The sequence below is a fragment of the Homo sapiens genome, chromosome 8 (assembly GCF_000001405.40).
Source record: "Homo sapiens chromosome 8, GRCh38.p14 Primary Assembly".
Classification (NCBI taxonomy): domain Eukaryota; kingdom Metazoa; phylum Chordata; class Mammalia; order Primates; family Hominidae; genus Homo; species Homo sapiens.
Window position 1 is genome coordinate 56,153,882 of NC_000008.11, and position 26,083 is coordinate 56,179,964.

The 26,083-nt window shown below is 36.7% G+C and overlaps 1 protein-coding gene across 6 annotated transcripts in view, besides 2 other annotated features; it reads right to left on the reverse strand.

Annotated features, from left to right (window-relative positions):
* Positions 3,310-3,429: a silencer, noted in NCBI's record as "silent region_19210". NCBI's record gives its function as "represses an Ori minimal core promoter by ATAC-STARR-seq in GM12878 lymphoblastoid cells {active_cell/tissue: GM12878}" and the evidence as "EXISTENCE:reporter gene assay evidence [ECO:0000049][PMID:35858748]".
* PLAG1 (PLAG1 zinc finger) overlaps positions 7,028-26,083 on the reverse strand; it is a 50,365-nt gene continuing 31,309 nt past the window's right edge. Inside the window, exons 2-6 of one of the 6 annotated variants that reach the window (XM_017013576.2) lie at positions 25,528-25,632; positions 24,113-24,240; positions 17,210-17,308; positions 14,147-14,505; positions 7,028-13,622 (exon numbers count right to left, since the gene is read on the reverse strand). In XM_017013576.2, the coding sequence (XP_016869065.1) occupies positions 12,362-13,622; positions 14,147-14,388 (1,503 nt within the window). In that variant the 5' untranslated portion in view covers positions 14,389-14,505; positions 17,210-17,308; positions 24,113-24,240; positions 25,528-25,632 and the 3' untranslated portion in view covers positions 7,028-12,361. The other 5 variants (NM_002655.3, NM_001114634.2, XM_047421867.1 and 2 more) reach the window with 5 other exon arrangements.
* Positions 12,788-13,987: an enhancer, noted in NCBI's record as "BRD4-independent group 4 enhancer chr8:57079228-57080427 (GRCh37/hg19 assembly coordinates)". NCBI's record gives its function as "activates an origin of replication core promoter dependent on BRD2, P300/CBP, MED14 and CDK7 cofactors, and independent of BRD4, by STARR-seq in HCT116 cells {active_cell/tissue: HCT116}" and the evidence as "EXISTENCE:reporter gene assay evidence [ECO:0000049][PMID:35650434]".

Below are 26,083 nucleotides of genomic sequence, written 5' to 3' on the forward strand. Positions count from 1 at the left end.
TACTTTACATCTTATACAAAAATTAAATCATGGTCTACATGTAAAACATAACAATACACAACCTATAGAAAAAAATCTAGAATATCTTCATGACCTTAGGTTTGGTTATAAATTTTTAGATACAATTTCAAAAGCCCAATCCACAAAAGAAAAAAATACATAAATTGGACTTTACAAAAATGGAAAACTTTTGCTTTTTTTGATACTGTTGAAACAATGAAAAGACCAGCCACAGACTGGGAGAAAATGTTTGTAAATCGTTTATCTGATAAAGCATTCATATCTAGAATGCATAAGGAATTCTTAAAACTCAACAATAAAAAAATCAACCTAATACAAAATTAATCCAATAAAAAATAGACAAAGGATCTGAACAGATATTTTACTAAAAATGTTTTATGCAGTTGGAAAATAAACATATAAAGGTTCTCAACATCATTTGTTATTGGGAAATGTAAATTAAAACAACAATTAGCTAAAACCCCCTGAGACCAATATCAAAACAGCTTAAGAATGTGGGGCAACAGAAATTCTCATTCATTATTTATGGGAATAAAAAACTGGTACAGCCATTTTGGAAGACAGGATGAAAGTTTGTTATAAAGTTAATCATAGACTTATATGACCTAGGCATCACACAGAATCTTTGCTACCTACAAAGATTACACACACACACACACACACACACACACACACACACACACACACAAAATCCTTCATTCCTATTGTATGTAAAGGCCATAAACCCATAAAAACTGGGAACTTTTTCTGAGAATTAACAGATTCCATACGTTTTTCAGATGCAGATATTATAAACCAAGGCAAATAAAATTCACTTTCCAAGTGTATCACACTCCCGGGGCAACTAAATCTCAGATAGAACTTTGTAGTCTTACTGACTTGAAAAATCAGACAATAGAGTTTGGAGGGAAAACAGCAGCTGGAAAGTGAAGGAGGAGGTGAGAATCCCAGAAAGCAGAGAGACCCAGAACAGGAGGCAAATTCTGTATATAAACTTTGCCCACATTTCTGTCTGACTCTTGTACCCATACAATGGGCAGACCCCAAGGGGCCAAATTTAGGCTAAAAGAATCTATATATCAGAGTCTGGGCGAGGCGGCTCATGCCTGTAATCGCAAGCACTTTGGGAAGCCCAGGCAGGTGGATCACCTGAGGTCAGGAGTTCGAGACCAGCCTGGCCAACATGGTGAAACCCCGTCTCTACTAAAAATACAAAAATTAGCTGGGTGTGGTGGCACTCACCTGTAATCGCAGCTACTTGGGAGACTGAGGCAGGAGAATCGTTTAAACCTGGGAGGCGGATGTTGCAGTGAGCCAAGATAGCGCCACTGCACTCCAGCCTGCGTGAGGGAGCAAGACTCCGTCTCAGAACAAAACAAAACAAAACAACAACAACAACGACGAACAGGAACATGTGAGCCATAGACAAGAGAAAAGGTGATCCGTGGGAAGACCCTGGGAAGGAGCAATGGCTGGGATCAGCAGAAAAGGATCTGAAGGTGATACTGAAAGACATAAAAGTACATGCTCACTGAATGAACACATAGGAAATCTCAATAGAGAAAGAGAAATGATAATAAAGAACGAAATAAAGATTATAGCACTTAATCCGCCATCAGAATACATTTAATTAGATGGTCATCCAGAGTTATGGAAAATAATAATGCTAAAGTTTCCTTGCAAAATATTAGAGTGTGCCATGGGGTGTGTGTAGGTGGGGGTGGTAAATGGGTCCATTTGTGAGGAACAGGGTAGAGAAAAGGAGTAGGGAAGAATTAGTGTGTTATGGGGCGTTCTCAATGGAGGAAAATAGTTCGTATTTTCATCTACAAATAAAAGAAGAGTCATGTGTGATAAGAATTAAAAAGCAGGGGAAGGCCGGACGTGGTGGCTCACACCTGTAATCCCGGCACTTTGGGAGGCGGAGGCAGACTGATCACCTGAGGTCAGAAGTTCGAGACCAGCCTGGCCAACATGGCGAAACCCCGTCTCCACTAAAAATACAAAAAATTAGCCAGGCGTGATGGCACTCACCTGTAATACCAGTTACTTGGGAGGCTGAGACAGGAGAATGGCTTGAACCCGGGAGGGGAAGGTTGCAGTGAGTGAGATCGCGCCACTGCACTCCAGCCTGGGCAACAGAGCAAGACTCCATCTCAAAAACACAAAAACAAAACAAACAAAAAATAAAAAGCAGGGGAAAAGGGACTGTAGTGATTAAAGAGACTAAAACATACAAAGCAACATCAAAGTTAAAAAAGGGAAGAAGTGGAATGATTAACAACTCTATCAAACTCAGAAAAATAAGGTAAACGAAAAAGAGAAACCATCCTTAAAGTAATAAGCACAGAGTAAGAGGAATAAAATCAGTCTTAACTATGAATGAACTGAATAAACTCATTAAAGACAAAGAATGTTAGATTAGGTGAAAATTGAAAACCAATAGTAAACTATCACACACATAAAACTATCACACACATAAAATTAAAGCAAACAAATCTCACATCACAAATGATGGTGAGATTTTTTGAGTGTCAGCTTGGTGAAGTCAGACTAGAAGGGCGACAGACATAAAAGGGAGTCTCCTTTCAGTGGAGATGAAAGACTCTCAGCATGCAAATCCTGTGGCAGCACAGGTGAGACTCTGCAGGGAATAGGCGATTTCCTGGCAATTCCAAGTCCCCAAATGGATCCAAGAACAACTGGAGCATTTGAAGTGAGCAATTGCCTGAGTAAAGATGGGAAGGAGGAACTGCCCTGAGGAAGGGGCGCCTCAAGCACCATCCGCCTTTTATAGAGCAGGCTGAATTTCCCATAGTTAAGCTCTTCCAGAACGGCAAGAAAATCAGCCCCATCCTCCACCCTCCTCCCCGCCCAACCAGTCTTTCTAAAGCCAAAATAACTTGAGTTCCAAAGGCTAATAAATTCAGTAAAAAGGAAACTAGGTACCGATTTCACATATTGATATGGAGTCAAATGTTTAAACAAAGTATTAGCATAGAGAATCCAGTAATGTGTCGACAACAAGCAGATAGTTCCCAAAATGCCAACCTGTTTCAACAAAGATGAAAACACCAATAAACGAAAAGTAGAAAAACCTATGTGGACGCATCAACAGATGCTGAAAAGGCATTTCCTAGAAGTCGGCAGCCAAACTTGGTAATTCTTGCGTGTGATAAAGGCAGCCGTCTGTTCTGCTCAGAAGGGGTTTCCTAACAGGAGGGGCCGAATGCAGGCGTCACATCCACGCCGCCCCAGGTCGTACACCTAGGCCGTCCGGGCTGTCCCAGAGCCGCAGGCCCCGCATCATCCGCGTCCTTAGCGCGGGGCGCGGAGCCCGCAGCCAGGTGCGGCCGAGACCCGCGCGCCAGGGAAAGCGGCGCAGCGGACGCGGGAGAAGGCTGGTGGGTACAGGTTGCCTCCGGGCCGGAGCGCCCATGCAGGGCGAGCTGCGCTCCGCACAAAATTGCGGTGGGGGCGCCAGACCGCCTTGCTCCGCCCCTGAGCGGGGCGCCCCGGCCCAACCCCCTGAGGGAGGAGGGTCCAGGTGCCGCAGACTCTTAGCCCCTGGCCCGGCGTCCGCCCGGCAGGTTCTGGCACTCCTCGTTGGTAAGCCCCGTTATTTCGTGCGCAGTGTTTACAGAATATAAAGTTCTTCAGGAAACGATGTTATAGGAGAAACGCCTGGATTTTCCCCAAACTATCAGAGAGTATCTTAACTATCAAAAAAAAAAAAAATTCATTTCAGTTAACGTCGGGAATGAGACACCAATGCCTATCGCCATTGTATTTTCTTGGAGGTTTTAGTAAATGTAATAAAACAAGAACATGAAATAACTGGCATGGACACTAGAAAAATACTGTATTACTTTTGCTTTAAATTGCTCCCCAAACTGGATTTTCCAACTCGAACTCCATAGCACCTTGTTCTGTGGTTCCATGTATGTCTCCAAAGGGTTAACAGGGGTCTTTTATTCCTTTGTGTGGGTGGGGGCTGGGGGTGGGGGGGGGAGAGCAGGGAGAGGGAGGGGGAGATAGGAACTTGATATGTCAACCCTAGCCACTTTTATGTTTATCAAATAGCCATTGAGAATATTTATATTACATTAGCATCAATCACTTTCAAAAATACTTATTCACTAGCAAATTATCAATAATTTAGATTTAACCGAGTTATTGGTAACTCCTTATCACCACGTTTACCTTCTGCTTTCTGGAGATGTCCATATTGATTCGATTTTTGCTTCTCTGGATTATTTGTAATTAAAAAATACAAAGTATACTTTCTGAATCCTTACGTATCAGAACTCGTCTTTTGCTTCAACACCTGGTTGATAACTTCCACACCTGGCTCCACTGACTTCTTTCAGTGTTTCAGGTAAGTCTCATTCTCTTTCAAATTGTAGGTCTCTGGGACCTGTGTATTTTTTCTTTTTATCCGTCTAATTCAGAGCTTAATGAGCCTTTGAAGTTCAAAGGAGGATTAGAATCTTCAATGGCTCCCTAGTTTTGGTCCATTGTAGGGAAAGCATTTAGTGATGATGTACTTGTGAAGAGACAGTACACGTGTAGCATCTCTTCACACTGATGCAGAAAACCAGAACAAAAGGAAGTTTAAGGATGATTACACACTCTTCAGGGTATAAAACAAACTTTTCCATAGAACAGAGATACCCCATGTCAAAATTATTTTATTAATTAATTTCTAGTGTCAAATTTTGAAAAGGTTTTTTAAAAGTCTCCTAAATCTTAAAATGGCTGAGTCTTTCAGGGAAGCACTGTTTGTCATGCATCCAACAAATACTTGATTATCTACCCTGTGCTTGGAACTATGTGGATAGGGTTTTACCCTCAAGTACTAGAAAAAATATTATTCTGAGATGATCTAATCAACTGTAATATATGTTTAGAGGGAAAATAAATTACTGTTCAGTGAATGAGACCAGAAGGCTTTGTGGAAGAGAGATAATTAAAAAAGGGTTGGAGGATGGATAATGGGTAAGATTTTGGCACGTGGAATTCTCGTGCAGGAGGAGAAATCCCGCATTCCAGGGATGGTGAACAACTGGAGGTGAAGGGACAGATAAGCACAGGCTCCAGTATAAGGAACAGTGAGTAACTCCATAAGATAATGACGGAAAAAGGCAGAGGAGGAAATGCGCAGGTACTATTAAGGATGGAGGAACATTTTCAGGGTCACTAACTAACTCAATAAAGCTAGCATATAGGAATAAATATGGACATATCCAATAAAAGAATTTATGACAAAATACAAAAGTAGCACTTTACCACTGCAAAAAAAAATTTAACTCAGAAAGCTGGGGATGAGTTGAACTTACTGGCTGGAGTTATTAGACAATATGGTCTTCAAGACACTTACAGGGTTTATATTTGTTACAGCCACTGATCACCATTAATTCTGGGGTGGGAAAAGCCGACATAACTTAAAAATCTTTAAATAGGGCATCATGGCTTAGGTTATTAACTTCCTTACACAATGAACATTCCTAGGTCATGAGAATCTGTTTATAGGAACCTGCTTAAAAATATCAGGTGTGTGTGAATCCTAATAACAGATCAATTATTTTTAGAAACAGCAGTTTACTAACATTATTCCGGTAAGACTACTAGTTGCACTAGCAACACTTTGAAAGGAGCCTCAAGAAATTATTAAAGTTCTCTAATGACAAATAGAATAAACCAAAAGTAATACCTTTCCAATAATTCTAATACCATAAAGCAGAAAACCTTATGTGAGGGGCCTTTATTCTTCCCACTCTCATTCTCTCAAAACCCTAAGACCTTGACTCAGGTGTTATTTCAAAGGGACTATCTGCCTGTTTAAAAAAAAGATTCAAATTTATAGAATTTTCCACTTGTGCATTTATAATACACATTGGTTTACATTTAAAGTATCTATCTATTGAGTAACGCAGTTAGCCTGTTTACATAAAAAAATTGTTCATTTTCATCTGCAATAATGGCAGCCAAAGACTACAGTAAAGAAGATATTCTGTGCATTCCTTCATGGATACAGTCTCCATCAAGCACCGTGCTCTTTTCCCACTCCTTTTCTCAAGCAGAAAGAACCTGGGAATTTATGTGCTATGCTGTTAACAGTATATCAGGGAGAAAAGTGTTTTCATTTTCTTTAAGGTAAAACTAGCTCCTCCAAAGAATGGCAGACATATTCTGAAAAAGGCAAAAGGGCACAAGTGTTTTCCTTCTGTGAAGTCCTTGAACGATTTCATATGAATTTAAAACATATTTAGTGTTAATTCTAATAATACAGAAATACTGCATTAATTTGCAGAAATTAAACAAGTGAAAAGAGGAAGGAATTGCCACACTGGATTTATGTTCATTTTCTTTACCCCTCTGAAAATAGGAAAGTCAAAAAGGTAAAGGAAGAATTTTTCCTATTATACTGAAAGAGGTGCTATGAGATACATAACAAATTATTTCTACAGTTGGTTCCTGGAAAGGTATTAACCGAATTTTTAGAATTAACACCTGTCCCGGAAGCTGTGTTGCTGACCATTTAGCAGATGAGTTTTAGCTGAAATATGTGTGTGATTGCCATTTTGGTCCACACAAGTTGTCAAGGGAGCTTTCTTCAGCAAAATTTTAGGCAAACAGCCCAAAGGGAACTCTGAAAGAATAATTTTAGTACTGACAAACAATAAATGTTAAATAAATGCTAAATACCAATTTTATCTCCCAGAAACAAGCAACTAATATCCTTTTTTGAATTCTAAACTCATCTGGATTCAAGTTTTGATGCATCACCTTTTGACTTTTTTAACTTAAAATTTCTATCCTTCCTCTAAAGATACAAAAGTTTTAAAACAAACCAAAAACCTAGATTTTACATTTCAACAATATTGTCCTAGACCCAGCTATTAGACTATTAATCAAACGAGAAAATACTTATAATTTGAAGAAAAAATGTGATAGCAAATAGAAAAGTATCATCTATTAAAATTTCAGGAAGATCTACATTATCTAAAGCCATTCTATAATTTTATTCATATATTTTGTGGAATTCACATATCTTATTCTTACAGCAAACATAACACTGTAGGCCACAAGAAGCTGCAGTACTATTATTTAATTAGCAGCAAATTAATATTTTAAATCTGGTATATGGACAATAAATAGTCTGCTTCTTTGGATGTGAATGTTTAAAATGTAGTATCACTGCAGCTTCATAATGTGATTGCTATTTTACAGAGCTTATACACACACAAAAAATATGATCTTTGTCTATATTTTATACAAATACAACAGTAGTTTGTGAATACATTTTAAGTACACGATATACATGATAAGCCACTTGATTTCCCAATATTACAGAATAGCAATTTTAAATGCAATAAAAATATACAAAATTCGGCCTGGAATGCAGATTTTTTTCTTTTCTATTTTGACTCAAAACTTTATCATTAGAACATTTTTAGAGTACTAGTCCAAACACTTTTTCATTAGCTAAAAATACAATTTCAGCAGTCCAGCTTATGTTCAGGTATGATGCAATCCGTTTCCTAATGGATTCCCAGTTTTTGTTAAATTCAAAGGGCTGTTAGTAACATACAGCATGTTCTTCACTCCACACCCTATTATAAAGCCCACTTTCCATTCTGAGTTACAGTCACCTTGTGGACAAAAGCTGGGTTTGTTCTGGTAACATTTGCATGTCCGAGATCTCCTTTTGCAAGTGCACATGAATACATTGTGGTGGTGTAAAAGTTTGTTAATGACAAATTAAGTCACAGTATAAAAATATATTGTACACTTTTACACCTAATGTAGTCCTTTTTCTATGGATAAAAAAATACGACTGAATGAGACAGAGAAGTTTGTAGCACCATGAAGAGTTGTAGCCCAAGTTACATTAGCAGCATGATCCAATATAATATTGAAGGAGTGTTTCTGAGAAGATAAACATTCATTCTGGTTCATCTGTACCACTGAAGCTTATATAATGAAGTGTTTTATACATTAGCAATAGTTCTGTGTCATTTCTAGGCTAGATAACATCAAAAGACACTGCCTTCCATCCTCAGAGGGTTGACAACATCATAGAAAGGCCCTAAGTGCAATCTGAGTGTGCCTTCACCAATGCTGGTTGCATGATCTTCTTTTCTATGATCCCAAAGGAGCTCCCTATGGGTTTTTAGCACAAAACTGCACAACTTATGTAGATCTATGTGATCACAACAGACTTATCTGTGTTGTAGACATGGCTGCTGACACAGTGTGAGAAAAACAAGACAAATTCAACTTAGGCACACATTTACCAGAACTAACAGCCAGCCATTGCTAATGACGAATACTAAACATTTAAAAGATCTCCTCCAATGTCACATGGATCTCAGTAGGCTAGAAGCAACTTGGGTGAACTGGTATTTTTTAACTTACGTACTGGGAAGACAGTGTGCTTTGAGACACGTAAACCTTGTAAAAAAATAAACCATTGTAAAACCTTATGAAAAGACACACACTGATTCTGTGCAATATAGCAAATTGATAAGAAAACACTGTAAAAATGTACCTGTTTAAAATACCATCTACCATTTTTGTACACAAAGCATTATATATCAAAGGCCTACATATATATCATCTAATGGCACTTGAATTATAATAAGTCTTAAAATAAAAGGCATAACCTATAAGAAAGTTTCTGTAAAGGTTTAGATTCATTTTGAAAGTGCTATATCTTGTAATATGTGTAGTATAGAGGTTGACCAAGCTCTATTTTTTAAAAAAATATTGGCCTATAATATGTGTATTGCTCACTAGATGAACGATCCTGAAAATATGTACTCTTTAACATTCATTATTAGCTTAATAAAGCAATCGGCTCTGGCTCATGTTTCAGTCAGTATATGGTTTTTAAAAACCGCTACTGTCCAAATTAACACAATATATCACTATATTCCACAAATGACTAAGAAAAATAAAGCACAAGCAACAAATAGGCAAAAATACACAGCTTGAAAGAAACACTAAATGAAATAAAAAAGTTGCACACAGAGTGATGCATAATCAGCCAGGACAATTGAAGTTTTAAAAAACTGAACTTGGTAATAGGATTTTAAAATGAAAGTTTTAACAGTGATCGATAACTATAAAGGTACTTGTATACATCAATGGATAGCATTGCTTACAGTGCCAAGATCCTTCCACACTCACACTTCCGTGTTTGGTGACCTAACTTGTACATACATGTGGAAGTGAAACTGAATGAGGTTCAATATCTTGTCTGAGGCCCAAATTCTAAACTACTTTTATTTAATGTTAATCCCTTTTTTTTTTTTTTTTTTTTTTTTTTAACCAAGCTAAGGCACTACCAGAAATTTCAAGGATAATGATTCTGGCCACTAGAGAATGAAAACAGCATTGGCAATACTTATTTTTAATCATATCTAGTTGACATAGAAACAAACAATCTTTTTCTAGGGAAAAAAAAGCCAATTCTGTGTTACATCCTTGTTAGAACATTGTGCAATTCAAATAAGCGAGTCTGCCTCATCTTTAATAGAAATTCTCTCAAAAAGGGTTTAGTGACCACTACAGTCAATTTTAAAAACAAATTAGCTGAATTCCCTCTTACTCTGAAGTGTTATTTCAAGTCTGGGGGTGGGAACAGGCAAAGAGGTGTACACATGAAAATTAAGACTCCAAAATTTTAACACTGGTGCCCTGAAGATGTGCCTCCATGTATTTGAATTTCATGCAGGGCAAGATTTAAGTATGTGTGTGTGTGTGTATATATACACACACACACACACACATACACATACATACATATATGGCGCTATTCCCCATTTCCAAAATGCTTTACTTAATAAATCCTGGTACTCCCTTTTTTAAATTAGCAGTGAATACAGCCTACTAAGGCCAATGTCTCAGTTCACTAATTTGATGACTTCTTAAGTACATTTTAAACAGAATAAAGTAGTGCTTCCACACTTGCTATTTGTGATTTCTATTTAAAAATAGGTTTTCTATTTGTGCTCTGTCACCAATTTTTTTCCTTTTATATGGTGATTAAAGCAATATTGAACACTAATCATTCAACTAAAGATTTAGGTAAGCAATCTGTTTCATAGAAACTAAAGGAAGCAGTAATGAAGCAGAGCGAAAAGCCTACTTTCAGAAAAAATATTCTCCTAATCAAAAGCTAGGAGCAGTTTGAAAAATTTAAAAATGTACTTCCTTATTAACATATATAATTTTAATGCCTTTGGAACACACTTTTTTAATAAATGTAATTTTTCATAATAAAATTTAAATACATAAGTATAAAAACTACTGCTCCAAGGATTAAAAAAATATAGGAGCATGATAAAATATCAGGAGCCAAAGCTCCTTCAGAGAGCAACTTTGATTCTATGAAGTGCGGTATGTGTGCATGTGTGTGTGTGTGTGTATTATATATATATATTGAAGCCCCCATTTACATTATTACAATTTACATTTCTCCACAAATTATACTACTCCCAAATATTTTAAATAATGTATTATATTCAGTAATCTGCACTCATTTTTAGAAATTCTTGGTAAACATTGCAATCTGCAGTGATAACTGGCCCTACAAAAAGGAAAGAAGTTTCCATATAGGGCTAATGAGTGCTCAGAAATATTTTTCTTTCTGTTTTTTTTTAAAGAGATATATACTCTTCTAAAAACCTCCCACCCTTGCCCCCATCCCCAACGGAAAGGGTCCTAAAATAAGGTGTTAACAAGTGCTTAATAGATATGTTTCTTAGGTTAATGTCCCAACTGACCCTTAGAAAAATATATTAATTAGACCTTTAAGAAGATTATGTTGGTTGTCTAATGTGAGGAAAAGCCTATAATTATTCAGTGAATATAATATATTCTCAATTGTTATTTTCATGTTAACCAAGATAGGTTTGTTTTACTTTACTTTGTTACCCTCTACAAACTCAACTTATTTGCAATACTCCTATCATTTCCCAGAGATGCATGAAAGTGGGATTTTACTGTATATATTTCTAGTCACTTAAAACTTTGTGGTAGTTCATCAGGTAGTTTTCTAATGCATTTAACTTCAAATTCTCCATCCAAAATATTGCAAGGAAAGATGGATTCACATTGAATCAGAAAGATAACATCGGAGTAGGACTGTTGTTTTTGTTTTCTGCTTTTGATTCTTAAGGGAAAGAAAAACATATCAAATTCAGCAAGAAATGATATAAGCGATATGCTTTTACTTTACTTCTAAAAAGTCCAGTTTTTAACCCTGGCTACAGGGGCCATGATCCCTACACAAGTTCCCAAATGTAACCATGTGCTTCACGTCTATCTTCCTGCTTAGAAGTCTGTCACCCACAGAGGCTGAGTCAATCCACTGTGGGATAAACACACCTCATGGCTGCAGTTCCACAATGGCTCTAGATTATGGACTAACCGTGGGCCAACAATGAAAATAAATTGCTGGCTGCACTTGACCCACCCCTTGGATGTGAAAGGTGGAAAAGACTAAAGAGATCTACCTATATATCGACTCTGAAGACCCCAATGCCATACACTATTACTATTATTAAATGAAAAGATAGCATGTTAAGAAGGATGAAACACGACAAAATATCCTGTGTACTAATTTAGGGCCAACTATTAAGTGACACGAAATGCCATGTCACCTAACAGAGTCTCTTTTTGCTATAAATACTGATGCTTTGTGTTTAGGGTTTGTTTTCCTTAAAGGCTCATAATAAAGATGGCAAATATTTTAGCCAGACAACAGGGAGTCTTCAGAATATACTGATCTGAAATTATGGTGTATCTAACAAACATTTATTATCTTCCGAAACTGGACTCTTAATTCATTTGAAGCACTTGATTATTAATCCATTTAGAAGCTAGTAAGAAAATTTAAACCCTTGAGTTATTCACAAACTTTTTATACAATTTACATTCTATTGCTAAATTTTTTAATGAGCCAGATGTCAAAAGGTAGAGCCACTGTTATTAGACAAAAATGAAAATTTTAAGATCTAAAAGTAATTTGAAAATGGGATTTGTAAAAGTTTACTACTAATAATGGCTTTCCTATATGGAAAAAAAAAAGTCTTAAAATGTGACAATTGGCAGTGAATCAGGACAAAATACCCAGGTAAACTTAACTGAACACAAATGGTTCCAAAGCTCAGTTTAAAAGCTAGTTTCTATTTTATACTGGCTTAATGAAAATTTGTATTATACAAAAGCAGAAATTTTTATACTGTTTTAAAGTAGGCACTAAAATAAAAATGGTCATCTAGGGCACAGCTACACATACATTTCTGTAATGAATCCATGTCCCAGAATCCTACTGAAAAGCTTGATGGAAACGTGGGAGGGTGGTACTTGTGCTTAAACTGCTGGTGAAAGCTGCTGACAGTGAGTGCAGAGACCCAAGCCCTATAGTGTTTGCAGGATCCTGAAGATCCTGTGTTTGTGGGGGGAGCTGGGAAACAGAAGAATGTGCTTCTTCCTGGGAATAGCTCATTCCAAGGCTCCCCACTGATAGAGGATTATAGGGAGGACCATTTAAAGGTATGAAATTAAACAACTGAGAAAAATCCAATGCTGGTGTGTTTAGGGGGTCACTGATGGAGATAGAGCTTTTGGATAGGGAGAGGTCTCCTGCACCATCATCTAGGGACCCAATCTGAGGATCCAACCCTAGCTTAGATGATGACGATGCTTGAGAATCTTGGGATGAAGAGGGCACGCCACCTTGTAACTCCATCAGGTAACTCTCAATTTCCCCCTTTAATGGCTGTTCTTTTTCAGGAATAGAAATTGCATATGAGGTAGAACTGAACGGATATTTGAAAGAAAGGTGGTGAGAGGGATGAACAGTGTCCATATCTATTGGGCATGTCATTCCCAAAGGTAAAGTTGTGATCATTTGGTGGGCAGATCCCGAGCTCTGCATGGACTGAAATGGAGTGTTGTAGAGGTTTAACTGCAAAGTGTTTGTGAATGGCTTTGATAACAGTTCACTGGAAGGTAAGGACATCACCGGAAGGAGCTCGTCTTTTATAGGCACAGACACATTGCAGGTAAATGGGTCAAGGAAATCCACTGGTTCTGTTTTGACCTTCAGAAGCTCTTGATTGTGACTCTTCTTCATATGTCGAGTCAGGTGATCCTTTCGCCCAAATCTCTGTGCACAATACTGACAGAGGAAGTCCTTTCTTCCAGTGTGCACCACCATGTGTCTCCGGACATCCTTTCGGGTGTAGAACCGGCGATCACAATGTTCGCACTGGTGCTTTTTTTCTTTAACCCCACCAGACGACTTGCCTGCATGAGATTTAAGGTGCTCCAGAAGCACTCCCGTGCTTTCAAAAGTTTGCAAACATACCTTACAGGTGAGGTCACCACTTGTTGCGGCATGCAAGGCCAAGTGACGTTTAAATCCAAGCTTGGTATTGTAGTTCTTGCCACATTCTTCGCACTTAAACGTCTCTTTGTTAGGGTCGTGTGTATGGAGGTGATTCTTCAGATGATCTTTCCGGTGAAACATTTTCTCACAATAATTACACTTGTGGGTTTTCTCAGGAGAATGAGTAGCCATGTGCCTTTAAACACAGATATAATCTATAAGTAGTTATTATGACAAAAATGGCATGTATTCACTTTTCAAATGGAAGCTAAACTACTATGCTAACACAGAATTCCCTTAGTAATGGAAACTGTTTAACTTAATATATACCACGAGGATAGTTAATATACCTAATTACTGCAAAACTTGAGCCATTTAAGTTGCCACTTTAGTTTTTGCTGGTTTCCAGCTATCATTACAAAAGCAAATGAGCAAGACTGAATATACTCACGTAAACGTCCTTACCCTTTTCTTGTTGTAATTTCTTTCTACAAATGGAAATTCTACTCATTAAGCATTTTATTTTAAAAAGTCCAAAGACACTAACACATAAAAGTATGTGATTTAGAATACTAAAAACTAAACCAATGTCTAATCTACTTAACATTTCCTCTTTGCAAATTAGCTGAAAAATGTGTATACAAATACATACGTTTACAATGGCTTCAAACAGCCAACATAAGAGAAAATATAATCTGAAAGACAAATAGAGTTTAATACCTTTGTAATTTGTACTTAGAAACAAAGGCCTTGGTGCAGTCTTGTTGTATGCACTTGTAGGGCCTCTCTCCTGTGTGAGAGTAGGAGTGAACCTTTAATTTCTCAACACTGTTAAAGGCCTTGTCACACAGTTGGCAAGGAAAGTTTTTTCTTGGTTTGGTTTCACCACGCTTACGTTTCCCTGAAGGGACTTTCTGGGTATCTCTTACTTCTGACAAATCACCAGGAATGACAGTGGCCATCGCAGCCTAAACCAGGCCTTCTTGTTGGACACTTGGGAACTGCCCAACTCCACTAAATGATATAGCTTTAGGTGGCTTCTCAAGTTTCATGTGGTCGTAAAAGAAAGCAAAAAGGGACTGGAAAAAAAAATAAGAAACAACTAGTTTGTAACTAAACTCAATTTTTAAAAATTTTATTTGCTATGTGATGCTTTTGAATTAAAAAAGAAACCAATAAAATGGATTCAGCTGGTCTAATGTAATATCATCACATTACATTAGAAACCCCATAGGTTTCTTTATATTTGTCAAAATACATAGAAATGCATTGCTCAGAATGAACAGTTCATACATACCCTGAAATTCCACTTGACACATGTTTTACTTAGGCATAGCAGTAGTGATTTCAGGAACTCTCATGAAGAATCAAAACATGACTCTAAAAAGTGGCATTATTAAGCTTCAATTTTTACAAAAGATCAGAGAACATAAAATCTGACTAAAAACGTTTCAGCAAATATTTCAGTCTCTAAAAATCAGTTTGATTTGTGCATGTCAGCTCTAGTCAGACTGCACTATAGGAAAACAGAGATAAGCAACTGAAAACTCTTTTAGGCACCTTGTGAACCATTGAGTCTGTGGAAGAGGTACTTCACGGAGAGACACTAGAGGCCTGAAAGAGTTGAATGCACCACCCGAAGTGATGCATTATACCAGTGTCATCATACTCTGAGGGATTCCTGAGTCAAGAGTAGAAATGATTCATCTTCCTAACAAATACAAATTCTTCAAATAGTAAAACCTTTTGATGTTTTATTAGGTGAAGAGCATGGCTCTTTGTCATTTTGGGAGAAAGACATGGTTAATGTAATTTTCCTCATCGTTTTTCACATCACAAAAATTTTAGGCACACTGAGGTTAGTAGGTAAACGAGTCAGCAGGCATCCCCAAGAGCTGAGGGCATTGGCCTTTGGACACACCTGCAACCTGTGTGCAGCAGACCTGTGTGGACTTCTGACATGGCACACAACACATCATCAAAGAGGTGTTTAAGGTTGGTAAAAAGGTGTGTCAGAGTTTCAATGTGTTATTGGTGCTGCAAAAAAGAATGAAATGTACATATTGTACAGCAAGGAGTATATCTTTTTAAACAAAAAATTTAAAAATGAATTAAAACCTTTAAAAATTCATCGACAAAACATAGTAAATATTATCGACTCTGTTTCTAGGGTAAGAAAACCAACTCCTCAAAGTTCCAATTCCTCAACGTTTATAAAGGCTAGTTGAGTGATGTACTTATTTTCTTTTGAGACAGAGTCTCACTCTGTCACCCAGGCTGGAGTGCAGTGGGGCAATCATGGCTCACTGCAGCCTTGACTTCCCTGGGCTCAAGCTATCTTCAAGTGCCTCAGCCTCCCGAGTAGCTGGGACTGCAGGTACATGCCATTATGCCTGGCTAATTATTTTTTATCTTTTGTAGACACAGGGTCTCAATATGTTGCCCAGGCTGGTCTTGAACTCCAGGGCTCAAGCAGTCCTCCAGTCTCAGCCTCTCAACATGCTGGGATTATAGGCGTGAGCCGCCACACCTGGCCTGTGATGTACTTTTAAGAGACCATAGAAATAATACCTGCAACCTCTTTTAAAACCAACTTCCTTATATCACCTGTGTTTTGGCACCAGACTGACACTGACACTTGCTGTCCCAAGCTACTACCAAGTTACTATTAGACTGACTTTCACGGATTCCAGTTATACTTTCGCAGGAGCTCTAAATACCTACATTTTTGTAAAATTAACTCTATGTTACAATAGGTCTAACTTTATTTTAATGTAAAGGCTGTTTCTAAACAGGCAAAATACAGCAATTATCCACTCACTTTATTAACATAGTAAGGCATATGGGTAAGTTCATCAGTACTTGCTTCAGGTGTCTTTCTTTATTAGGTAGATACAGGCAAGGCCTTTGTGCTATTCAAACGGTCTAAAAATCCGCCTTGCTGTTTAAAAGTGACATTAACACAATGCAACTGACATTACCAATGGTAACATATGTTCTTTTTGTTTTAGATTTTCTGGATCTCAAGGGCTTCTTGCTCTATTTCTGTTATATTCTCATTCAAAAGCTAGCTCCTCTGCTTCCCTTGGAAATATCTAAACAGCTACTCTGCTGTGACCAGTAATGACACTATAAACTGGTATAAAGCATTCTACCAAGGCAGGAAACAAACCTTAATTTTCATTATTTGATTTCCTAACCTGATACTTTTATGCACCTATTTAGAACATCGTGGGAAACAAATTGAACATTTCCCAATTGCAGAATCTACATGGAATGCAAGTATCTAAATCCCTGTATATAACTAATATCTGAAAATACTTCAAAGACTGGTCATATTTGCCATTGTGTTATAAAATCCAACCATAATGGGCAAAGAATTCCAGTTAAGAAAAACAACTTCTAAGTTATTAAAAAAAATTATTAGAAGTGCACCAATATGCAATATACAAACATTTGATTGTTACTAAAATTGGTGATAATCAATATGGAGTAACAAATGAATTCTGTTATCTTTGGATGTACATACTGAGCAATGAAGATTGCACTGATTTCAAATATTACACTTTTCTAAGACCAGCTGAAATTTTTTCATGGCTGATAATACCTTTTTATTTTAGTATATTACAAAACTCAAATTAATTATCATAGGTGCATTTCAAACTATAGGATAAGGTTGTGAGCTCAAAATCTAATAAAAGACCACATTCATAATATGCATATCAGTCAAATACTTTAAAGGTGCATGCATAGAATTATAGTGATTTTTAGTTCAATGCATACCTGATTACTGATGGAAAAAGCCTCAGACTTTGATCTTAGCCAGTCCCATTGACTCTTCGTGGAAGAGAGTGGAATCCAATCCTTCCCATTTTGGCCAATCTATGAAAAAAAAGTGAAAATGGACTATCCTCTAAATGGAACCGGTATGTAAATGATGGAAAATACAGGATAAAAGAATTGCAGTTTCATGGCACATGCTTACATTCCATACTCTGCTTACGAGTCATGCATTAATTTTCACCAACTACATATGTTTATTAGGTCTAAGCACATTTACGTGACCAAATAAATGCATAAATAAAAAGTATTACCTAGATAAATAGCAATTTGTGATGCTGAATGACTCCCCACTTCTTTCCCAAATTTATTTATTTCTAAAATCTGACTTACCTACTGAAATGGATATTAGGGCTACTGTTTATAAACCAAATGATCAAAATTTTATTAAGTTTATTAATATTATGGAAGTGACAATTTTAGGCCCCTTTCGGAGGGTACATCTGGAGCCACCCAAAGAACAACAGGCTCCCGGTGAAAGCACTCAGCCCATACTGTGCACACTAGCACAACGGGGGCCTCTCAGAGCTACACTTTTGCTATCTGCAACACCTGCCAATTTATTTTTCAGGATGCTGCAAGGATGGTTGAAATGTAGCAACAACTCTGCACTCTTTAGATTTCAAAAGCATGCAAGAGAAGTTAAATATAGATTTGCTACAGAAGAAAGGGGTGTTAGGAAGAGAGCATCATTTGGTTTAAGAGGTCATTGTTGAAAACTCTTAAAGTAGCTTATAATGTTTATCAGTAGTATGATCATTAGTAGACTGAGATCACACACAGAAAACAATCTGTTAATTCTTGATCGTACAAGTAAACATGAAAAGAATAACGGTCAAAAGGCAGAATAGAATCACCTATTGTAGAGAGCACAAGGCATGAGAGATCAGTAAACTCAGAGTATTTTAAAGATGAACATTCAGAAATCATGATTATAAAGGGATAATTAAATCAAACAGTTAAAATAACAGATATGTTAATGACAGGTTAAATAAAAATAACTTTCAGATTCTTAACACAAATCTAAAAATATCCCCTGTAATAAAACTTTCATACTTGAAGAATTTGATGATGTCTAAATAAAGTATTTAATAGAAGGCATTCAAGCATCATTATAAAAATGCCAAGGGTATATCTGAAAGCAGCATTTTTTTATAGTTTAAAAGACAAGAAAAGCAAAAATTTAGACCTATAAAGGTATTTTAAACATTAAAGCAAAAGCTCCATTCTTTTGTAAAGCACAGGACATGCATAAATGGAAGAACGGAATTCTGCACATCAAAATTACAAAATAATAACATTAACTTTGCAAATACTTACTTGCCCAGGGCACATACTGAGTTTTTTGTAGGGTAATTACGAATATGAAAGACCATTTTGTGTATTATGTTATTTTAAGAATATAAATACCTGACACGTGTGGAGTGTTTTCATCTCTATTATCTCCCTGGAATTCAATGAATCTGAGAGGTGGATGTGTTTACCATCATTGCCATTTTAAGGTGAGAGGCCCACAGAAGATGAACAACTTGACAGCATATGTGTGATAAAGAAGGGATGAATGCCCTAAAACTGTGACTTCACTTTTATTCTACTGTTTTCTATGACAAGGCAGGTTAGCAAACCAATTTGCAAGTGGATAAATCCTGTCACTATCCTTAAAAGATCAAAAGAGGGGATAGTGCCTATTTTCTCTTTTAGAGCTGCCAAATATCCAAAAGGAAATAAATTTAAGACTTAAAAAGTTTAAAAGACAGTTTATAAAGGCAGTTTTAAATAATTTAAACAACTGTTAATGTAAAGTAATAGCTAATACATCTGTCTGAGTGGAAAACGATTTGGGTAGAAACAAATTGAAAACCCAAGTTAACTAGTAAACAATAAGTTTATGTATTTTTTCCTTTATTCTCCAATCCATATAAATTTTATTGCATTCTCAAATACATTCATAAAATCTTTATTTATGCTTATTGTTCAATGACATTTTACAATAAAAACCTTTAGCATCTAAGTATTTCAACACAGTTTAAAATTATGTATATTGTGACATATTCCAATAGTCTAGAAATCACCCATTCTATGTATTTTACAGTCTAAAATAACACAGCCAATCATTTTATTTTATCCCAAAACATAATCTTGAATTTCTTAATTTCCCTAAATTGAACCTATTTTGAGTTCTTATGAGTTGCCAAATAATTTCAAAGTTCTACTAAATATCTCCCCCCAAAAAAGAAAGCAGGACTGGTTAGAAATTATTCTTTGGATTGATATAATAAAAAATATACAGTTTGTATTTATGTAATCCTAACTGAAAAGTTAGATAAAATTATCTGTATATTCTCTTGTATAGGATTAAGAAAAACTTAAAAAGCACCAGGAGTACTATTCTGAAAAGTGCAACAAAACTTGGTTTGGTACTCATGTTTTTCTTTTCTACTTAAAAAAAAAAAACTCACAAAGATTGGTTATTGTGCTTTTCAAGTGACGAAAATTCTCCTTTGCCTTGGTCTGATGAACTGTGAACCAAAGTAGAAAATACATACACCCATTTCAAATCACTCTAAGATGAACAGCAGTTCAGAATACCCTTCTAGTTTTTGTTGGTACCAGAAGAAGCAATTTTTTCCAGGGCAACTTTGCATACAGAAACAATAGAGAGAGTATGGCGTGTTTGTGCACACACACCCAGATTTATCTTCCGATGTTTTACATTATTCTAAAACAGTGACTCATATAAAAAACTAACAAGCCAAAATGAGTCATACATCAGAGGGTCTACTAAAATCAGTTCCTATGAGATGCCAGCAAAAGAACAGGCCTGTATTAAAACTGCTTATTTTAAATTCCATAGTTCTGATAATCATTTTGCTAAGAGCTGTGAATTTTTTCACTTACCTGCATCAATAATTATTTCATATTTAAAAGTCAAACAGATTTTGCTAATTAAGGGCAAATACCATCAAGCATCAAAGCTTTATTCTCCTGTATGCTTACAAGATGCCTTTAGTAAGTAATTCAGAAGATGTCAAAAAATTTCCTTAAAACAGGTTTTTCCATATAGAGTAAATAAAGTAGGTTGCAAAAAGAAACTTACCAGTTCTTAATATTGTAATTTACATGTATGAAACACAAGAGAGTTCTGAATAATATGAAAGAATCTATTACTAAGATAACCCAACTGAAGGCAGTCAGTTTTGAAGTAAGGGCAACAGTATACTTAGAACATTTTTAAGAAATAACTTCGGTGTTTCTGCATAATTTGTAAATTTTTACAGCATTCACTTTCCATAGTCTGTAAAATCACTTATTAGTGAAAAATAACAGGAAAAAAACTATCTTATAAAAACCTAAGAATGAAAAATCAACTGCAGACGGTACAGGGGCAGAGAGGTTGTGCCAGTTTTATTCACTGTTGTTTCCCATAAAAGGCAGTTAAAGTAACTGTTGAATGAATGAAAAAAATTAAAACAGGGCCAAGTGCTTACCAGCATCACAATGACCTACAGGCTTGCTTAGTCATCATAATAGACATAAGATAGAATTTACAGTTGACCCTCTGTATTTGTGGGTTTTGCATCCATGGACTCAGCCAACCATGGATTGAAAATATTTTTTAAAAACTGCATTTGTATTGAACATGCACAGACTTTTTTGGTCATTATTTCATATGCAGTACAGTATAACAACTATTTACATAGTATTTACATTGTGTTAAGTATTATAAGTAATTTAGAGATGATGTGAAGAGTTCATGGCAGGATGTGCATAGGTTACATGCAAATACTATGCCATTTTATATCAGGTACTTGAGCATCTGTGAATTTTGGTATCCCAGGGAAGTCCTGAAACTAATCCCTCATGGATAGCAAGGGACAACTGTGTATCTATATTCAAGTCAAAGATAATGTAGTATGAACACAATTTGGTCCAACAAATTGAATAAGCTAATAGAACAGTATTTTTTTTGAAACTAAGCAGCTATTTGAAAAGTCTTAGATTAAAACAATAGCAATTGTAATAAAAGGTTATCTAAAAATACTTATTTTGCCTCAGAAAACAAGCATTCTCTAATCTTAATACTAAGAAATCAACTAATACAAGTAGATAACATCAGTCTGGCTCCCATTCGTAATAAAAATTTCCAAAGTGAAAACACGCCTGATGCCTGCATTAGTCCTTGGTATGGGGCAGGAAGGACGAGACTCTCAGTTGGGGCTGCTGGTCCCTACAGAGGGGAACAGAAAGGAGCTGGAGCAACTACTGTGAAGCAGGAGACATAGCCAAGACATGCACCTAACTCGCCTGAGTTTACAGCAGGTCCCCAAAAATGCATTTTATAACTGGATTGTGGAAAACTACACTATTTACTTTCCTAAATTAGATGTCATAGTTAACTAAAGTTAATCAAAAATAAGGATGCCCTTTTTGAATTACTGCGTTTTATATTTTTAACTCATTTTGAGCAATTCATTAAAATATAGTTCTAGGACATCTTTTTGAAATTTACCATAAAAATTAGCCTTACTGATGTTTAGAAATGTCTTATATTTAGTATACAGATAATAAAAACTAATTGAGAAGTGAGAAGTGAGGGGAAAAATGGCATAACTTTTTGTCTGTAAGAACCAACAGGAAAAAGTCAATGAATTCCAAAGTGGAATCAGAAAACCCCAATATCAGTTCTCTTATCTGTACAAGCAGGATGTTCCTTTTCAGGCCACTCATTTTCTAGAGTAGCCAGAGAGAATGAACAGATAACCCAATGAAGAAGGAGTATCAAGTAAATTTTATCTCCCAATTCAGACATATTTTCCTTGGTTGTTTATTTTATAGAGCAAAAATGCCACGTTAAGTTAAAAGTTTTTTTTCTCTTTTGAAAACTCCCTTTTCCTTTTCTTTTTTTTTTTTTTTTTGAGACAGGGTTTCACTCTGTCACCTAGGCTGGATGGAGTACAGTGGTGCAATCTCGGCTCACTGAAACCTCCAACTCCCAGGTGTAAGCGATTCTCATGCCTCAGCCTCCGCAGCAGCTGGGATTACAGGCATGTACCATCATACCCGGCTAATTTTTTGTTATCTTTAGTAGAGATGGGGGTTTTGCTATGTTGGCCAGGCTGGTCTCGAACTGCTGGCCTCAAGTGATCCACCCGTCTTGGCCTCTCAAAGTGCTGGGATTACAGGCGTGAGCCACCATGCCCAACTGAAAGCTCCCTTCTAATGATCCACAACTTAGAAGCACTTCATTTCAACTGCTATTTGGGGTGGGGGTGGGGGGTTCCCTATGATTGTGTATTTTTATCAAAATAAAAAGACTTAAAAATACAATGGGTGGTACAACACTGAGATATTTTCATTTTTTTCACATGGGGCCATTAGTATTTTCAAAGAGGAAATGAAAAAGAAATTGTGCAAAAGGGAAGCAATGATGCCTCAGAGAGCAAAGAAGGACAATTATATCTGAATGCAAAGTAAGACTGCTTAATCAATACTCTATTTTTAGATAATTTCCTGTGCTTTTTTTTTTTTCTATAAAACAGTCCCAAAATATTGGTGATCTTGGTCTGATTACAAAGTAGGTAGCCCACAGGTCAGCTCAATCTGAAAACTGTATGTATCCCAAATTGTGGTAAGTTATTGATCTTATTACCAGTAACTGATTAAGTTTCTGGGGGTACAACAAAAATGTTTGACACCAACTATAAAAATGTTCACAATGAAGGAACCTAAATATCTAGAGAACATGCCTCCATTCATGTATAGTAAATTGCCTAATGCTATTAAAATCGCAAATACAGAATAATCCAGATTTCATGTCTGAACTGTCAAGCACCCATACTGAATCTGCCTATAAATTCAAACAAAAAGGCAGACATCAGACACTTTATAAGAAAAGTGCTAAAGAAAGTTTTACTTAGCTATAAATATAAGTTGTACTTATCTATAAAAGCTCAAGCAGAAATTAGTTTTAAGCCATCTCAAAGTAAAGTGTACTTTAAAGACAGGCTTGTGCTATGGCATAAATGTTGTGTATGTGCTGATGCTTTAGTAGTACTAAAAAATGTAATGAAAACAGAATTCATGGCCTGGTTCAGGTCTGCACATACCATCCATCTGTCCTCCCTAAGTTATGCTCATGTGCATGTCCAGGATAAAATCACTTCTAGAAACAACTATTTCTATTTATTCCCACACAGTTAAGGGTAAACAGGATCAGTTCTAGGCAAAACCATCATGTCAAGGGTAGCCGCTCTCTCCTCTGCCTCCAGAGGACCCCATGTACTCTCCTGGCTGGAACAATTAGAAGAGGTTTGTTATCTATATTCCTTGACCAATTCTATTTGATCAAGAATGACCTTGAAAACCTTACCTCTCTGAACCTTTCACCCTTAATATGGACTGGAAAGCTCTTCTTGAAATGACCTGTCTGACCTGTCTCTCCCCCAGCGACAGTAAATTCATCTGCAGGGATACTATTATTCATCCTCGTATCCCTAGCACCTGGTCAGCACCCTAGCATGTAGCAGACATTTGATAGACATTTGCTGAACAGAACTGTGGTCCCTTTAAGGAAATTTCAGGAATCAAAGCTAGCAGGTAACTATGTTTCAGGTCTCCTGAAATTTCAAATTGGTTATAAAGCAAGCTCAGAAGACAAGCCCCAGAGAAATACATGGTTAGTTTGTTTTGGCAGAGAGGTAGGAACTTAGGGAAAGCACCACCGCCACCTGGGAGTCCGTACTGCTTCTGTGTCCCCAGGAGAGGCGTCACCTGCTTCGGCAGACCTCAAAAGCCAGGGAGTCTCAGGCACGTGCTACCCAGAGCCCGCCAAGCACGGATACAAACCTGGGTAGCACTCAGCCAGCCTGGACGTTTAGAACACTTCTGCTTTAAATGTCCTGTTCCATAGCTCCTTAAGCACATGGAACTACAGGTTGATCATGATTTATCATTTAGAAATAGCCAGTGAAGTTCTATGGGAAGGAAAAAGGAACAAAGTAAAATTCAAAATCTTTAAAAGAGGGTATCCTTCATGTGAAAATAAAATGTGAGGATCATGTTTAAAATATCAGAGGAAATTTTCAACTGATTACAGATATAGGAGAATAAAAAAGGAGAAAACCTGCATAAATTTAGTTTGGCTAAGTAAAACTAGTCATTTTTCCTTTTTCTAGCTACTAAAAAACAACTTCATTGAAAACAAGTTTAAAAACTACAGTAAAGTAGAAAAAGAAAAAAAAAATCCATAACCCCTAACACTAAAGATTTTTATAGCATATAGATAGCTAAAATTTTTATAGTATACAGATAGCTAAAATATTTACAGTATACTGATAGCTAAAATTTTAATGCTAACGGTGTTGATGCTTAAACCCATAGAATGTTGTTCTTATAGAAAATTTTAGCCCGATTAATTCGTGTACCTTTGATTTGATCAAGCTCTGTTGATGTATCTTGTGAAACCCTGCCCAAGGCCTCCTTTCCCCCATCTGCCATCAGTGAAGAGTTCAGGAGCCCATCCCCTGGTATCTGTCACAGCCACCATTGTTTTTTTTTCCAGTCTCCCCGTCCTAGGGCTGGGGGTCCTGGCCTCTCAACCTCTACCCTATCTTGAAGGTCGTACTGACAGACTTACCTGGTACCAAATCCACGTGTGCCTGGATTTCCAAGTATTGCTACACCTTGATTCTGTGACACTGAGCTGCGCCTACAGGCTGGGAAATCTAGATAGCTTGTGTGTGTCCTCTTCCCAACAATGCTGGCAAATTGCTATTGTTGCATTGGGTTCCTTATTCTAGCATCTGCCCCATCCCTGTGAGCAAGTCTAATCCCCCTCTCCACCTGCCCATAGGTAATAGGATCCCGCCCAGGAGACAAAAAAAAAAAAAAAAAAAAAAAAAAGATATAAGGGCAACATGGGATACTGTATCACTGTGCAAGATTTAGAGAAAGAAGAGCTTAAGAGTACATCTGTGGGCTATCTGGGGAACAGGAACAAATTAAGTTTTTACAGCAGCTATGTGTTTTGTGCAAAGAGTGAGGAAGACTGCTCCTTGCTAGTATTTCAAGCCTCCCATTCGACCATAATTATTACTGAAGTCCCCATCACAGTACATACTGATAGACCCTAAGATTGTAAGTGGCATGCTTATTATGTGGCATGCTTTTCAAAGCTTTTAATATTATATCTTATAGTATTTAGGAACTGGAATAATTAATCACTTTGAAAGTCATGCCATATAATGATAAAAGCCACCTACCTGAGGCCCTGCTCCAAACTCTAGCAAGGCAACCTTATTAATAGACCGTCACAGAATGAAGCATTCTGGGTGCCAAATACGGCCAAGGCAGCACCAAGAGGCAACCTAAAAAGAAAAGAAGAGTTAGTTTTAAATTCCAAAAGTCAGGCCAATCTGGTTAATGGCATATGAACCAAACTGCTTTTAATTCATTATCATTTATTCACATTCTTTGCACTTTATTGAAAAATGTATCTTAAATCCTGTTAAAAATGTATAGTACATGGAAAAATGAAAAGTACACAAATTAATATCCCTAGATTTATATATTTCCTCCCGAATCACAGTTATCTAGATTATTCACATTTTTGATAAATTATTTCAAGTTTACTGTCATTTCTCAAAACTGCTGCTTATTTTATTTATGTTCTAAACACACCCATTATCTTCTCTGCAACACAGTTTTCAGAAAAACCTTTTGTGGTGTCTATCTTGTCCTTAACAATTGCTATGGGAGAAATCTTGCCCCATGAGTGCTTTCCTCAGTCAGAGACCAGGCCACCTGTCCACAGAGAAG